The sequence below is a fragment of the Homo sapiens genome, chromosome 12 (genome assembly GCF_000001405.40).
Source record: "Homo sapiens chromosome 12, GRCh38.p14 Primary Assembly".
In the NCBI taxonomy this organism is placed as follows: domain Eukaryota; kingdom Metazoa; phylum Chordata; class Mammalia; order Primates; family Hominidae; genus Homo; species Homo sapiens.
Window position 1 is genome coordinate 27,199,002 of NC_000012.12, and position 16,354 is coordinate 27,215,355.

A 16,354-nucleotide genomic window follows, 5' to 3' on the forward strand; every position below is an offset into this window, starting at 1 on the left:
TCAGCCATTATTGCTATTCCTGCTACTGTCTTCAATCACCAAGCCCAACCTACCACCCAAGTCTCATGTTTATTGATGTTGTAAGTCCTTGCGTTTGGAGAAGGGGCAGAAGGTGCAACCTACCCTACCCTCTTCTTTGTAGGCCTAGGGCTGCCACAGATGTTTGTGCAGTTTGAGCCCTGCGCAAAGGTGCCTGTCTGAGGGGCAGACGGAGGCTGAAATTCAGTGCTCAACACAGGAGTCCTGCCATCTTGCTAGGGTAGTGAGTGGGTACTGGGTCTGCCTCAAGGAGGGCATGACTTTCTAATTTGCACAAAGGTCCTGTATGGGCTGGCAGCAAGCAGTCCTGGGGCAAGACTTGGAGAAACCATAAGGCAGCCCAGAGTTTTAGCCTTTTGCATTAGGAAAATAGACCAGCCCTCTCACAGTATTTACTGGGAAGATCCATTTTAGGTGTTAAACATTTTAGGTACTTGTGAGTTTCTCTCAGTCCTTGCTGATGGGAAGCCATTGGCCACTCATTGACTGTACATCAAACAAATGTGAACATTTACCTCTTCTTCCCTTTGGCTGAGAGGCATCTGTCAGAAAGAGGCTCTTCATTAGCCCTCTTTCTTGTCTTTCCAGAAGCTTAAGAATTTGTTTGTAAATAGGATAGCCCACACCCTGAAAAAGAAGACAGAGAACATCTATGGAATTGTCAACTCAATACCCTTCCAGCCCCCTTCTCTTAGGAACTGTCACTCCTCCTCCATTTCTCCCTCCCCTTTACACCCACATCTATGTTAGAGGCTGTCATTTTCTTATATGACCACAGCTCCTGTTGGGTTTGACTCAACTGGGGCTCAAAGTTTTTCTCTGGGATTTTTCTAATTAAAATAAAGAGGGACTGTCCCTCTCAAAGAGTAAAGCTATAAGGTGAAAAAAGGGGGAAAAAGGAAGTTGTGTATGGTTAGGTTTGCTTTCTGGTAGAGAAAGTTGATCTACAATGAACAAGAATGGGAGTAGCACGTAGAAAGAGGCAGAGATTCCAAACAGAGAAGAAGGGAGTCCTGGCAGCCGTCCAGTTCTTGGTTCCCATAGTTCCTTGAGGCCTAGCTGCATTACAATTTTCCCCATCATTTGGTTACTCACCTCCTTCTTGGATTTTCTAAACCAGCAACCCCCACACCCTACCCCATTTTGTTAGGCTAATTCAAGCTATGTTTCTATCACTTTGCAACCAAGAGCTCTGCTTTCTACAAAGGCAAATAAAGTACCCTAGGGATGCTTTGCTTTCCTAGTTAGACTCCACTGGGCCTGACTATAAAGATTATTTCACATAGGTAAAACCCAGAGGTCTGTTGGGTCATCTGTCACTTGGATTGCTAAATAGGGTTTACTACCTGCTGAAGTTTTACAATAAGGGGAATAGTTAAGAAAATGGGTCCAGCAGGATTTTCGGTTCACAATAATGTTAATTTCCTGAGAAAACCACTTGACCTCAGACAAGGCATTTTCTTTTTCTAGAAACAAGGCGTTTTCTTTTTCTTGAGAATTGTTTTATTTTGTTTTGTTTTTAAATAACAAAGTGCTATTGTATAGTAGACATTCTTGAGATGACTTCCTTTCTATACACATATATGAGCAAATTAAATAGGGACATAAGCAGAATAAATGGTATTGAAAATGTACATTCACGAAGCTCAATTTGAAGAATCTCTGCTGAGGTTTTGCCCATGTTTTCACAATGTCATTATAAACCTATTTTTCATGCTTGCATTAATGACATTTATTAAGTGACCATTCATCGATATCTACTTTGCAAAAACTCTATGGAAGCAACAGAATTGAACAAAAGAGTTCCTTACCATGGGGTGTTTATAACCCTATCTTGAGACACACTTGTAAAAAAATTAATATAAGGCCAATTGATATGAATGCTGTGACAGACACAATGAAGGATTCTGGAAGCATTAAGGAAGGAGAGACTAATCCCAGCTGGGGTGGAACATAACTGGCTCTCCATGTGGCAGATTCACATTAACCAAGCTCTGAGAAATTATCTACAAATCTGCAATTCAACGTTACTGTTTTTCAAGGACAACTTTCTGACAAGGGTCTAGACACTTCTTTGGTTGTATATGAGCTTACTACAGTACCTTTAAACTGATACCTGACACTTCCCCAAATGAGATTATATTTTATGATGAATATTTCTCAAAATACTTCATAATTATCATGCTTACAGATTTCATAAGGCAAGAGAAAAGGCAGTGAGTGGTTTAATGGATACAGTCCAAAGGACAAATTTATTTCTAAAAATGAACAAGGGTTGGCAAGCCTTTTCTGCAAAGGGCCAGATAGTGAATATTTTCGGCTTTGCAGGCTATAAGATCTGTCCCAACTACTCCACAATGCTGTCTTAGATTAAAAGCAGCCACAGGCAATACATAAATGATATGCATAGCTGTGTTCCAATAAAACTTTATAAAAACAGGTAGAGAGCTGCATTTGGTTTGAGGACCATAGTTTGCTGACCTCTGACTTAAAATAAAGGAAAGAGACTAGGAACATTTGATAAAAAAGATCCCGCTAGTATCGTATTGTGCATTGCGCAGAGAGATAAAGGTGAAAAAGACGCAGTCTAAAGTCCGGTGTAGTACGGGAAATCAGTAAGAAAATAATCAGAATATGAGGCAAAAAGGAGTGAGTGCCTTAAGTGAGGAACAGATACTTCTGACTTAGAAAAGCCAGAAGGGGCCAGGCGCAGTGGCTCATGCCAGTAATCATAGCCTTTGGAAGTCCAAGGTGGGTGGATCACATGAAGCCAGGAGTTCAAGACCAGCAAAACATGGAGAAACCCCGTCTCTACTAAAAATACAAAAATTAGTTTGGCATGGTGGCGTGCACCTGTAGTCCCAGCCATTCGGGTGGCTGAGGCACGAGAATCACTTGAACCCAGTAGGCGGAGGTTGCATTGAGCCAAGATTGCACCACTGCAATCCAGCCTGGGTGACAGAGGAGACTGTCTCAGAGAAAAAAAAAAAAAAAAAAGCCAGAAGGCATAGGGTCTGCTCACCTGGAGAAAGGAAGAGGCATTTTAGAAAGGAGGAATTGTGTATGGAAATGAACATGACATTGGGCACAGCACTGGCAGGGCACAGGGACAGTTAGAAAGAAAGTTCGTTACTTAGCTATGGGCCCATACCTTTCCCTCTCCCTGAGTCCTAGAGCTCCTTAACCAGTACCGTAAGAACGTTCCCCTCCTGCGAGCCTGCAGAAGGTCCCTGGCTCTTATCAGATGAGATCATATTGAAATACAGTCTAGCAAGACCAATTCTAATAATGAGACTGGACTCCCTCACTTTGCACTTGTATTCCAAATGGACCAAAATGCCTTTTGTAGCCTAGAATAACCAGAGTAAAAAGGCCCTGCATTGAGGTTCTCCCAATGTCACTTATATGTCACAAGTACCTTTGCCCCAAATAAGTATCTTTACACTTAGTAAAGCTAACGGGTGCAGTGTGAGAAAGCTAGTCATCTCTGGGCAAGGCTATAGTTCACATGATGGTCCAGGAGGCAGGAGGGCTTAGGATTCTCTAGGCAGGGCTCCCTGTGGTGTTGAGAGTTCCTGTTCCAATGGTCTCCTCAAGGGTAGTCTGCACCAAAACTCATGTGGGCTCTGTCTTATAAAATAGTCAAATCAATGTAAATGAGAATAAAACATAAAATACTTTTAATCAGTGAGATCAGCAAAGATTAAATATTTTTTAAATGATCAGAGTTAAGAAATGGATAGGGAATACATATGCTTGTTTTCTTTTGATGGGAGCATTAATTGGAACACAGATGCCATTAGTAGTTTGTACAAAATACCTTTTGGTTTAGCATTTTTATTTTTAGAAATGTATTCTAAAGAATGATTGGACAAGTGTATCCAATATAATGATAACTGCAGCATTTTTTATAGAGAACAATATAAATGTCCAGCAATAGACTCATTTAAATTAATAATGATACATTCAGATGATAGCTGTCATTCCAGCAATATAAGTAATATTTTAGAGAACATGTAATATGGAAGTACAATATATTGAATATTAGTTTACAAAATAGTATGATAGTATGATTATAAATTTATACAAAATACAGAATATATATACATTATATATACATTATATATAATATATACATTGTATACACACATTTTATATATACATTATATATACATTATATATTATATATACACATTATATATATATACGTTATATATATACACATATATATACGTTATATATATACACATTATATATATACGTTATATATATACACATTATATATATATATTTTTTTTTAGACAGAGTCTCGCTCTGTCACCCAGGCTGAAGTGCAGTGGCAGGATCTCAGCTCACTGCAACCTCCCCCTCCCTGGTTCAAGCGATTCTCCTGCCTCAGCCTCCCAAGTAGCTGGGACTACCCATGCCCAGCTAATTTTTGTATTTTTAGTAGAGACTGGGTTTCACCGTATTGGCCAGGCTGGTCTCAGGCTCCTGACCTCAAGTGATCCACTGCAGTATGTATTTTTATATAAACATGTATTTTAAAAAGACTCTATATACATATATATACATTCCAGTAAGGGATTGGAAAATAAATTGTGGTACATCCATATGGTGGAGTATTATGTGGCTGTTAAAGAATGAGGTTGATCTATGTGCTGATATGCAAAGATGTCCATGATACATTATTAAATGGGAGAAGAAGGTTATATAGTAATATACATAGTATAATCTCATTTTTAAAAAAGTTTACATATGCATTAAGAAGTCTTTACAGGTAGTTATATCTTGGGTGAGGAAAGAAGGGGCTGTCCTGTTAATGGAATGCTGCATAACAACTCCCCTTAAAATGTGGTAGCACTATTCATGTATTAGCTCCCCCTGTTTATGTGAATCAGGAATTTGGGAGCTGCTTAACTGGGGAATTCTGCATCGGGGTTCCCATGAGATTATAGCAAGACTGTGGCTGGGGGTGGGATCATCTTGAAGGCAGGTTCATTCACACTTCTGGTGCCTGAGCTGGGAAGGCTTGAAAAGTTGGGACTGTTCCTGGGACCCTCACTTTATCCTTCTGTGGTGTTTCTTGATGTTCTCTTCTCTTCTCTTCTCTTCTCTTCTCTTCTCTTCTCTTCTCTTCTCTTCTCTTATCTTATCTTCTCTTATCTTCTTTCGAGACAGAGTCTCACTGTGTCGCCCAGGCTGGAGTGCAGTGCCATCATCTCAGCTCACTGCAACCTCCACCTCCCAGGTTCAAGCGATTCTCCTGCCTCCCGAGTAGCTTGGACTGTACTACTGGGAGGCATTTACAGGCAAGTCCCAGCCTCCTGAGTAGCTGGAACTATAGGCACACACCCGGCTAATTTTTGTATTTTTAGTAGAGCTGGGGTTTTACCATGTTGGCCAGGCTGGTCTTGAACTCCTGCCCTCAAGTGATCCGCCTGCCTCAGCCTCCCAAAGTGCTGAGATTACAGGCATGAGCCACTGCACCTGGCATCCTCTGTGGTGTTTCTTAATATGTGATCTCTTTAGCATGGAGGTTTCAAGTTAGTAGACTTCCTACATGGCAACTCAGGGCTCCAAAGACACAAGTGCAGAGAGAGAGAGAACCAGGCAGAAGCCATATTGCCTTTTATGATCTAGCCTTAGAAGTCGCTTTTGCCACAATCTATTGATCAAAAGCAGTTTCAAAGATCTGCCCAGGTCCAAAAGTTGGGAACCCAGACACTACCTCTCAATGGAGGAATGTCAACATCTCATTATAAGAAGAGTATGGGCCAGGCGCAATGGCTCACACCTGTAATCCCAGCATTTGAGGAGGCCGAGGCAGGCGGATCACGGGGTCAGAAGATCGAGACCATCATGACCAACATGGTGAAATCCTGTCTCTACTAAAAATACAAAAATTAGTTGGGCATGGTGGCGCGTGCCTGTAATCGCAGCTACTTGGAAGGCTAAGGCAGAAGAATCGCTTGAACCAGGGAGTCGGACGTTGCAGTGAGCCAAGATCGCGCCACTGCGCTCCATCCTGGTGACAGAGGGAGACTCCATCTCAAAAATAAATAAATAAATAGTATGTGGGATGGGTGCAACCTTCTTTGGAAAATAAAATACATTCTGCTCCAGTATATTTTATGTAATTTTGTATGTTTTAATTTTTACAATGAATGTGTCTTATTTTGGAATGAACAAAAACAATGAAAGATTATTCCAATTTTAAAATATATAAAATTAAAAAGGAATGAAACATTTCTTCCAGTCATCCCACATGAAGAGCTTTAAAAATCACATTACAGGTCTGGGCGCAGTGGCTCACGCCTGTAATCCCAGCACTTTGGGAGGCCGAGGCAGGCGGATCACAAGGTCAGGAGATCAAGACCATCCTGGCTAACATGGTGAAACCCCGTCTCTTCTAAAAATACAAAAAATTAGCTGGGTGTGGCGGCAGGCCCCTGTAGTCCCAGCTACTTGGGAGGCTGAGGCAGAAGAATGGCGTGAACCCAGAAGGCGGAGCTTGCAGTGAGCCAAGATAGCGCCATTGCACTCTAGCCTCGGCTACAGAACAAGACTCTGTCTCAAAAAAATAAAATAAAATAAATAAAAATCACATTACATCCTGCCTATGCTATAGTGCAGTGTTGTAAGTTGGAGCAATTATTTTGAAAGTAGAGGAGATAATATACCTTATGGTAATCACAAAGTGATCTATTTCAAAGCAGTCCCCATTAAAGCTACAATCGTATTATGATGGCTTGATTTAAAATAGGCTATGAATTAGAAGTTTATCTATTTTTTTCAAAACTGTTTTAGGCTATTTTAAATTTTAAAGTCAAGTAAAGCTGGAGAAATGATCTTAATTTCTTATAATAATAATATCACTCAACATTCTAGAGCAAGTAAATGATTCCTAGTGTGACAGCCTTACCAACAAGTAAAATTTACCTAACCATGTCCTTAGCAAGATTTCAGGAGCACTAGAAAGCCTGCTGCCCCACAGCTTCTCTAACCACTGAGACCCAGAGTTCTACCCACAGTTTTGTTTTTGGACCTTAATACTTCCTACCTTTCAAATTTTAAAAAATCCATGAAAAAAATGTAGCACTTTAAGTTTCATTGGTAATCTACAGCAGGGCAGATGGCTTTCTGATCCCTGCAGGTGGGAAGGTTCTGAAGACCAAATACAACCTTTGTGTAGTTCATTGTCTACTAGGGCCCACTCTGTTGGTGCTTATTACTGATTAATTATAACTGTTTTCTGCTGTGCTGTCCTATTCATTCCAAGAGGAAAAGTTACCATGTAGTGTCAGTAGTTTCTCCTTTACATTTTATGTTATGTTATGTTATGTTATGTTATGTTATGTTATGTTATGTTATGTTATGTTATGTTATGTTATGTTTTTGAGATGGAGTCTCGCTCTGTTGCCCAGGCTGGAGTGCAGTGGCACAATCTCGGCTCACTGCAACCTCCGCCTCCCACGTTCAAACAATTCTCTGCCTCAGCCTCCTGAGTAGCTGGGATTACAGGCGCCTGCCACCATGCCCGGCTAATTTTTGTATTTTTAGTAGAGACAGGGTTTCACCATGTTGGCCAGGCTGGTTTTGAATTCCTGACCTCGTGATCCACCCACCTCAGCCTCCGAAAGTGCTGGCATTACAGGCATGAGCCACCATGCCCGCCCTCTCCTTTACATTTTAATTTTCAGTGAAATAATTCAATCACAAGGTTTGAAAAAAATTGAATAATACAAAATGATTTATATGGAGAAGCAATGGTTTCCTGCTCCACTCCACCAAAGTCCAAAGGAACCTTTAAAATAATATGCATATTCAACTATTTATGATTTATCAATGTGAAACATGGTATATTGACTTCCTACTGCAATGGATGATAACACGGTTTGCTTCTCCACACCTTTCCCAAGTTCCCCTCTGCTCTCCTTTTAGTATAATTACATCACCATTTTTGTTCTTATACTGATGACCTTAAAATTAATTATTAAAACAAAGAGCTAAGTGCTACAAAAGCAGTAAGATAGGAGACATTTTACATAAGGAAGAGGAACTGAACATTTAGGCTGTAAAGTTAGTGTGAGAAATTATATTACAATGCAGTTGTCTTTAACATTCAGTTTGAACTAAATGCCCCCCTCTCAATTCACCTTTCAAGGGAAACTTCACACACACAATGGAGTTTACTGTGCTGCCAAAAAAAAAAAAAAAAAGAAAAAAGCATTTGAATATTAGAAATCAGGTGATATGGCAGTAGATGGGGAACCCTAGTAGAAACTAAAACTGGCTAATTACCCTAGGGATAGAGAGAGGAGGCATGGGTTAAAAAGTGGGAGACCAAGCAATAGACTGAAGGCTCAACATGGCAGAGACCACCAGTTGCCTACTCAACTTCCAGTTAGAACCCCATGTTGTCAAGTATGGCAATGAATTTGGTCAGATAAAACTATTAGGGTTGTACATACTATACTTAGCAATAAAAATGCAGGACTCTCAGTTACATTTGTATTTCAGATGAACAATAAATACTTTTAGCATAAGCATGCTCCATGCAATATTTTATCCAGCATCCCTGAGAAGTATATTTACCAACCTCCCTTGCAGATAGTGGTGGTCAAAGATATGTCAGAAGAGGTCATTGGGTGGAGCATCTAGGAGAGTACTCACGCACATATACTCTTCTCTTCCTACCTCCTTCTGCCTGGAATGCTAACGAGCAGCAGCTGTCCAGTGATCATGAAACAAGCTCGAGGGTAGAATCCAGCACTATGGACGGGATTATAGACAGAGGAAGGAGACTGGCCAACACTGACGATGTTGCAGAACAACCCAACAGCCCTGATTTATCTTACATGAGAAGATAAATGAGAAAAAACAAATTTCTGACTTGTGTAAGCTAGTAAGTTGGGTTTTTATCTTATGTATTTGAACTCAATCCTAACCCAAACACTCCGTGTTCACGTGCCATTAGCAAAAGGTCACAACCATTGTCAGAATCAATCATTTTGAGATAATACATAATACATAACACAGCAAGGTAATTAAAAATGCATAATGATAAAATCAAGAAACCTGTGGGAAGCTCCCACAAGTCATCACAGCTTGCATGCAGCTGACTAAAATAGGGGATTCCCACAGGTTAGTTCATCCAGAAACTGCTGGGAACTTCAGGTCTGCAGTCAGCCCACATATCCGCTTAGAGTGGCCTCCAGAGAGTGATGACTTCACCTTATTGCCTACTTTCTGCAGCTCATTTGGGTGCCTCTCATTTGCAGATGCTACTCTGGAACTATATGGGGAAGGGGATTCTAAGAAATGGAATTCTTGGTTCCTCTTTTCCATTACATAGGAGGAAGGCAGCGATGTTGACAACAAGCAAGCCTAAATCTGCATTAAGTTTTGTTTCATCACTTATTGATTATTATTATTATTATTGAGACAGGGTCTTGCTCTGTCACCCAGGCTGGAGTACAGTGGTGAAATCATAGCTCACTGTAACCTTGATCTCCTGGGCTCAAGCAATCCTCCATGATGGTACATGTCTGTAGCCCTAGCTAGCTCTCAGAGACTAGGACTACGGACATGCACCACCATGCCTGACTTTTTTATTTTTATTTTTGTAGAGATGAGGTTTGGCTACCTCGACCAGGCTGGTCTCAAACTCCTGGCCTCAAGTAATTGTCCTGCCTTGGCCTCCCAACATGATGGGCTTATAGACATGAGCCACTGCACCCAGACTGTTTTATTTTTTTTAAAACCTTTTTGTTTGTTTTAAAAGTCTATGTATTAATAACCATCAGAGTAAACAGACAACCCACAGAATAGGAGAAAATATTTGCAAACCATGCATCTGACAAAAACTAATGCCCAGAATCTTCAAGGAACTCAAATTAGTAAGAAAAAAAAATCCCATCAAAAAGTAGGCAAATGACATGAATAGACAATTCTCAGAAGAAGATAGACAAATGGCCAACAAACACATGAAAAAATGCCCAACATCACTAATCGTCAGGGAAATTCAAATTAAAACCACAATGAGATAGCATAACCTTACTCCAGCCAGGATGGCCATCATTAAAAAGTCAAAAAATAATAGCTGTTGGCCAGGATGTGATGAAAAGGGAATGCTTATACACTGCTTATGGGAATATAAATCAGGACAACCTCTATGGGAAACAGTATGGCGATTTCTTAAGAACTAAAAGGAGATCTACCAGTATATCCAGCATTCCCAACACTGGGTATCTACCCCCTCAAAAAGAAGTCATTATATCAAAGATACCTGCCCTTGTATGTTTATTGCAGCACAATTTCCAATTGCAAAGATATGGAACCATCCTAAGGGCCCACTGACCAATGAGTGGATAAAGAAAATGTGGTATGTGTACACCATGGAATACTACTCAGCTGTAACAAAGAACAAAATATTGCTATTCAGCAACTTGGATGGTTCTGGAGGCCATTATTCCAAGTGATGTAACTCAGTAATAGAAAACCAAATACTGTATATTCTCACTTAGCAGTGAGAGCTAAGCTGTGGGTACACAAAGGCATACAGGGTGGTATAATGGACTATGGAGGCTCAGAAGGGGGAGGGTAGGAGAGAGTGTGGGATAAAAAACTATGTATTGGGTACAGTGTATACTACTTGGGTGACAGGTGCACTGAAATCTCAGGCTTCACCACTATACAATTCATCCATGTAACCACAAACCACTTGCACCCCAGAAGCTATGGAAATAAAATAAAAATAAAATCCCCTCCATAACTGAATAAAACAAAATAAAATGTCTATATATTGAAACTGGGTCACTCATATGTTGCTGGTGAGATTGTAAAATGGTACAACCACTTTGGAAAACTGTTTGGAAGTTCCCAAAAAAACAAAACATGCCACTACCATATGGCCCATTGCATTTCTGAGCATTTACCCTAGAGAAATGAAAGTGTATGTTCACACAAAACCCTCTACAAGCATGCTCATAAAATTTTTTTTATTTTATATTATTTGACAAATAATAATTGTATATATTCATGAGGTACATAGTGATGTTTCAATGCTGATAACATATAATGATCTCAGATCATGGTAATTAGTGTAGCCATCATCCCAAACATTTATCATTTCTTTGTGTTGGGAACATGTAACATCCTCCTTCTAGCTATTCGAAACTATATAATATATTATTGTTATCTGTAGTCATCTTACAGCTCTATTAGAAGTTGTTCCTCCCGTCTAGCTGTAATTTTGTATCCTTTAACAAATCTCTTCCTATCCTTCCCTTCCATGCATAGCAGCTTTATTCACAATAAACTGTAGTACACATGTACCATGGAATACTACTAAGCCATGAAGAGGAGTAAAACATTAATACTTGAAACAACTTGGATGGGTTATCAGGGAATTATATTGAGTGAAACAAGCCAAATCTCAAAGGGTTACATACTGCATGATTCCCTTTATATAACTGATATAGTTTGGATACTTGTTCCCCCAAATCTCATGTTGAAGTGTAATCTCCAGTGTTGGTGGTGGGGCCTGGTGGGAGGCATTTGGATCATGGGGACAGATTCCCTCATGGCTTAGTGTTGTCCTCGTGAGAGTGAGTGAGTTCCCATGAGATCTGGTTTTTTAAAAAGTGTGTGGCACTTACCCTCCCACTCTCTCTCTTGCTCCTGTCTGGCTGTGTGATGTACCTGCTCCTGCTTCATCTTCCACCATGAGTAAAAGCTCCCTGAGGCCTCCTCAGAAGCTGAGCAGATGCCAGCACCACGCTTGTACAGCCTACAGAACCAATTAAACCTCTTTTCTTTACAAATTACTCAGTCTCAGGTATTCCTTTATAGCAATGCAAGAATGACCTAATGGAATAACATTACTAAAATTAGAAAATTATAGAGATGGAGAACAGATTAGTAGTTGCTAGGGGTTAGGGCAGGTGGCATAGGGAGGGAGGTATCTGTGATTATAACAGGGAAGTATGAGGGATCCCTGTGATGGAACCATTCTGTGTCTTGACTGTGGTGGAGGTCATACAAATGTATACCTGTGATAAAACTGCAAAGAACAAAATACACACACCCACACACACACACACACACACATGAGTACCTATAAAACTGATGAAATCTGAATAAAGTTGATGGATTATATCAGGATTAATTTTCTGGCTTGATTTTGTACTTTAGTTATGTAAGCTGTCATCATTGGGGGAAATTGGATGAAGGGTATACAGAATCTCTCACAATGCAGGTGAATTTACAATTATCTCAAAATAAAAAGTTAAAATTAAAATTCTAGGCAAGCTCTGGGATATAGAACTCTGAGTACTAGATTTGAAGAAAGGATTCCAGCACTGGGCAGGAGGTGGGGCTAAATAAATAAATGCCTGCCGGGCATGGAGGCTCACTCCTGTAATCCCAGCACTTTGGGAGGCTAAGGCGGGAGGATGACTTGAGCCCAGGAGTTTGAGACCAGCCTGGGCAACATAGAGAGACCCCCATTTTTTAACTTGAAAAAGAAAAAAAGTACATGCCAAGATTTCTTCCAACTCTTAGGATTCTTTTATTTCTTTTTTCTTTGGTTCTCTCCTCTTCCTTTTTTCTTCCTTCTTTTTTCATATTTCTTTCCATTTTGTACTTACCAAGATAAGTCTTTGACATTCCACGGGAATTTGTTGCCATTGCTTATTGATTAAAAAAAAAAGTGCCTCAGTTTGGCCCCAAGACCCTTTGTAATCTAGTCTCTACCTAATTCTCTACCTGAAAGTCCAACAGTTCTTTGCAGCCCAGAAAATCAAACACTGGATGCTATATTGCCTTCTACCCCAATCCCACCCTAGCTATGCTCCATTTCACTTGCCTTTCTCTGGAAGACTCCATGATGGTCTTGATTTCCCTTGTTCCACTTTCAACTAACCCACTCTTTGTTGGATTGCTTGGACAGCTACCCATGCATGAATCTATAAGTGGCACAAAACATATCTGAAAAAACTGGAAATTTGGTGCTAGGTAAACTTAGATTTTTATGTGCATCTCCTTATATTATAAAGGGAAAAACTGAAATTAGTTCAACTCTTATTTTAGTGTATATAATAAACCATTATTTTGAATTTGACATGAAAGAGGAAAATATATTATTAATAATTCTTCACTGACTTCTAAGAAAAATGGATCCTAATTAACTAGAGAATCAATCTAGGGGCCTTTGCCTAACTGGCGTAAGTAGAAACAAATGGTGTTGCATCAAGTTAAGAACATGAGACTGGTGCAGAGCTAAAGTGTTTGGCATAAGAGAGAGTTTGGAAGGGAAGAGGAAAGAAATCCTGGAAGGCGAGGATAGTTGTTAGGAAGGCTTAATGCTGGAGGGAGAAAGTAGTTTTAAGGCAAAAAATAGAGATTTTGAAGAGATATAGCTAATGGGCTTTTTTTCTTTTTTTTAAGTGAAAAGCTGGGCCAGGCACGGTGGCTCACACCTGCAATCCCAGCACTTAGGGATTCCAGGGAGAGAAGATCGCTTGAGCCCAGGAGTTCTAGACCAGCCTGGACAACATAGTGAGACCCTGTCTCTACCAAAAATGCAAAAATTAGCCAGGTGTGGTGGTGCGCACCTGTAGTCCCAGCTTCTTGGGATGCTGAGGCAGGAGGCTTGCTTGAGCCCAGGAGATCAGGGCTGCAGTGAGCCATGATTGCACCACTGCACTCCAGTCTGGGTGACAGGCTGAGACCCTGTCTCAAAAAAAAAAAAAAAAAAGAAAATCAAACAGATGAAAAAATAAGGCAGTGGTTAACTCTAGGAAAAATAAAGAGATGTAAAGCAAACAGAAGAAACCCAAAATCATAATCATAAGTCATTTATCACAATAGTAAACAATAATTACATATTTATAATAATACTATTGATTTACCCCAAGTTGTGAGCTCTATTGAAAAATGAAATTGGGGATGAGCTTTATTCTCCATCAAAGGAAGTCAATACATTTTTAAAACCAGTAAATCAAAAATAGCAATGTAAGCATATTATTGAGAAATATGCTAAAAGAAATAGATAAAAAATGAAGAGTTGACTATTACAATATGCTTTTGGGGACTGGTGAATGGTGCAGTAGGAACTACTATTTTTTCATATTTGTTTTTAAGTACATTTATTATTTTGATAAAAATACCGTTAACTCACAAAACAATATTTTTAAAAAGTAGAATCTGCCTACACTTTTCACATATGTTTTAAGAAGTTTAAGCTGTAACATGCTAGTTTGCTTCCGTTTGACATGTAAAACACATGATATTGACAGATATCTTGACTGTACTTCTGAAGATGCTTTAACTGCCAGGAGACAGATAGTGGATATTTCAAGTTCCTACCCATAGAGAGGTGTATAGAAGAGCAGCTCACCTGCCGACAGCTAATTTTCATGTCTGCTACTGCCTGTGGACTTTTGCCCTTCTCTTCTGACTCTGGCCTTTCAGTTTGTATCCTTCTGTTAGTTCTGAAGTTCAGTATTTTTTTAGTCCAGAGTACTTTGGCTTTGTTTTATGAAAGTCTATATTCCTCCTTGCCCAGTCTAAGCTAAGTTTACCTTCTCATCTTTCTGGAAATCTATGCTCCTTTACAAATTCTCTTTCAAACTTTACTTTAAAAAATACTTTATTAATTCATCCAATAAGCATTTTTTAAGTCACTACTACTATGGGTCAAATCCTATGTCACACCCGGAGACAGAGAAGAATATGCAGTTCCATTCTAGCAAACGAGATAAAGTTTCACAAATTACAGTTTGGATTTCTGTTAGGGGATTAGGGTGCCACTGATGACAGCCACTGCTCCATACAGCTTGCTGTTGCCATCACCCCAGCTGCAGCAGGGAGGCACCGCTGGGGCTGCACAGTCCATGAAGCCCAAGAGAGCCATGCCCCTTCCAAGATGGGGCGGGAGCTCCCTAGGCCTCCACTGCAGCTGCCCAAACTGAGGCGGCAGACTCAGGCATCCCTGCACTCTTGGGCGCCTGGGAAGGACCCCCTGCTCTTGCAGGCTCAGAAGTGCCTGCCCCTGCTGCCTGGCTTCTCCCTGCTGTGGATGCCTGCTTGGATCTCGGAGCAAAGTCCTGAGAGCCTGAGGGCCATGAATGGCAGCAGGAGGCAGACAGATTCCTGGGTGGAAGGCGGCAGGTCCCCAGTAAGGCCCCTCCTTCAGGCCAGGGAAGGCCTGAGTCTGGGTGCTGGGCTGCCAGTCCCAAGGACTGGAGTGGGGACTTGTGGTGCCTCTTCTGGGCCTGCCCTTGGCCACCCATGGACCAATCAGCACGTACTTCCTCCCCTCTCAGGTCCATAAAAGCCCTGGGCTCAGCCAGAGCAGGGCAGAGGAGGTAGGGCAGGAGGACTAGCTGCAGAGAGGAGCTACCCTGTCTGCTGAGAGCTGCAAAGGCCAGGAAAACCTTCTGGCAGAGAAGATCTTGGTACCTGCATCTTCAGGCATGCTGCTATGAAGACACAGGTAGAGCCTTCAGAGTAGACCCCGGTTCTACTTACCCAAACAGCAGACAAAAGGCAAAGGCCACAAGCCTCCTTCTAAAATGTGGTTTTCAGGCCCCATCCACGTGTGCTTGCCACTTTTCCAGGGAGTGAAATATAATCTGTGGACCTGGGGTCAGAAGTGAATGAGAGGACAAAACAGTCACAAGCACTGATCTTTAGCCTTCAATATTGGTCTAGCCTACCAGTGAAACTGGTGCAATGAATGTCCCCAACTGTAAATATCATCTCAGTCACTCCTATGAGAAGGAAAAAAAGAAGGGATAAATTAAGAGAGGGCAGAAGTGCAGTAGAGGCTTCCTTTTCTTTGGGCTAAAACAAATACATGAGGAAAAGGTGAAAGAAGATTCCTCTTTTTTTTTTCTTGTAGAGAAGCGGGTCTCACTATGTTGCCCAGATTGAACTCCTGTCCTCAAGGTATCCTTCCACCTCATCCTCCCAAAGTGTTTGAATTACAGGCATGAACCACCATGTCTGGCCTTCTCTCTTCAACCAACAGTCTCCTTTTCTTTTATTTCTTTATTCTTTTCTTAAAAATAATTAGAAGCAGGGCCAGGCACAATGGTTTATACTACCTCTAATCCCACTGTTTTGGAAGGCTGAGGCAGGAGGATTGCCTCATACCAGGAGTTTGAAACCAACTGAGCAAAATAGTGAGATGCTCTCTATAAAAAATAAAAAATTAGCCAGGTGTTGTGGTGCATACCTGTAATCCTAGCTACTCAGGAGGCCGAGGTGGGAGGGTCACTTGAGCCCAGGAGTTTGAGGTTACAGT

The 16,354-nt window shown here is 40.8% G+C and overlaps 3 annotated features.

The window, feature by feature from the left end:
- Positions 9,073-9,292: an enhancer, noted in NCBI's record as "active region_6134". NCBI's record gives its function as "activates an Ori minimal core promoter by ATAC-STARR-seq in GM12878 lymphoblastoid cells {active_cell/tissue: GM12878}" and the evidence as "EXISTENCE:reporter gene assay evidence [ECO:0000049][PMID:35858748]".
- Positions 9,633-9,722: an enhancer, noted in NCBI's record as "active region_6135". NCBI's record gives its function as "activates an Ori minimal core promoter by ATAC-STARR-seq in GM12878 lymphoblastoid cells {active_cell/tissue: GM12878}" and the evidence as "EXISTENCE:reporter gene assay evidence [ECO:0000049][PMID:35858748]".
- Positions 14,635-15,136: an enhancer, noted in NCBI's record as "H3K4me1 hESC enhancer chr12:27366569-27367070 (GRCh37/hg19 assembly coordinates)". NCBI's record gives its function as "activates a minimal SCP1, AML or CMV promoter by ChIP-STARR-seq in primed H9 embryonic stem cells {active_cell/tissue: H9 hESC(primed)}" and the evidence as "EXISTENCE:reporter gene assay evidence [ECO:0000049][PMID:30033119]".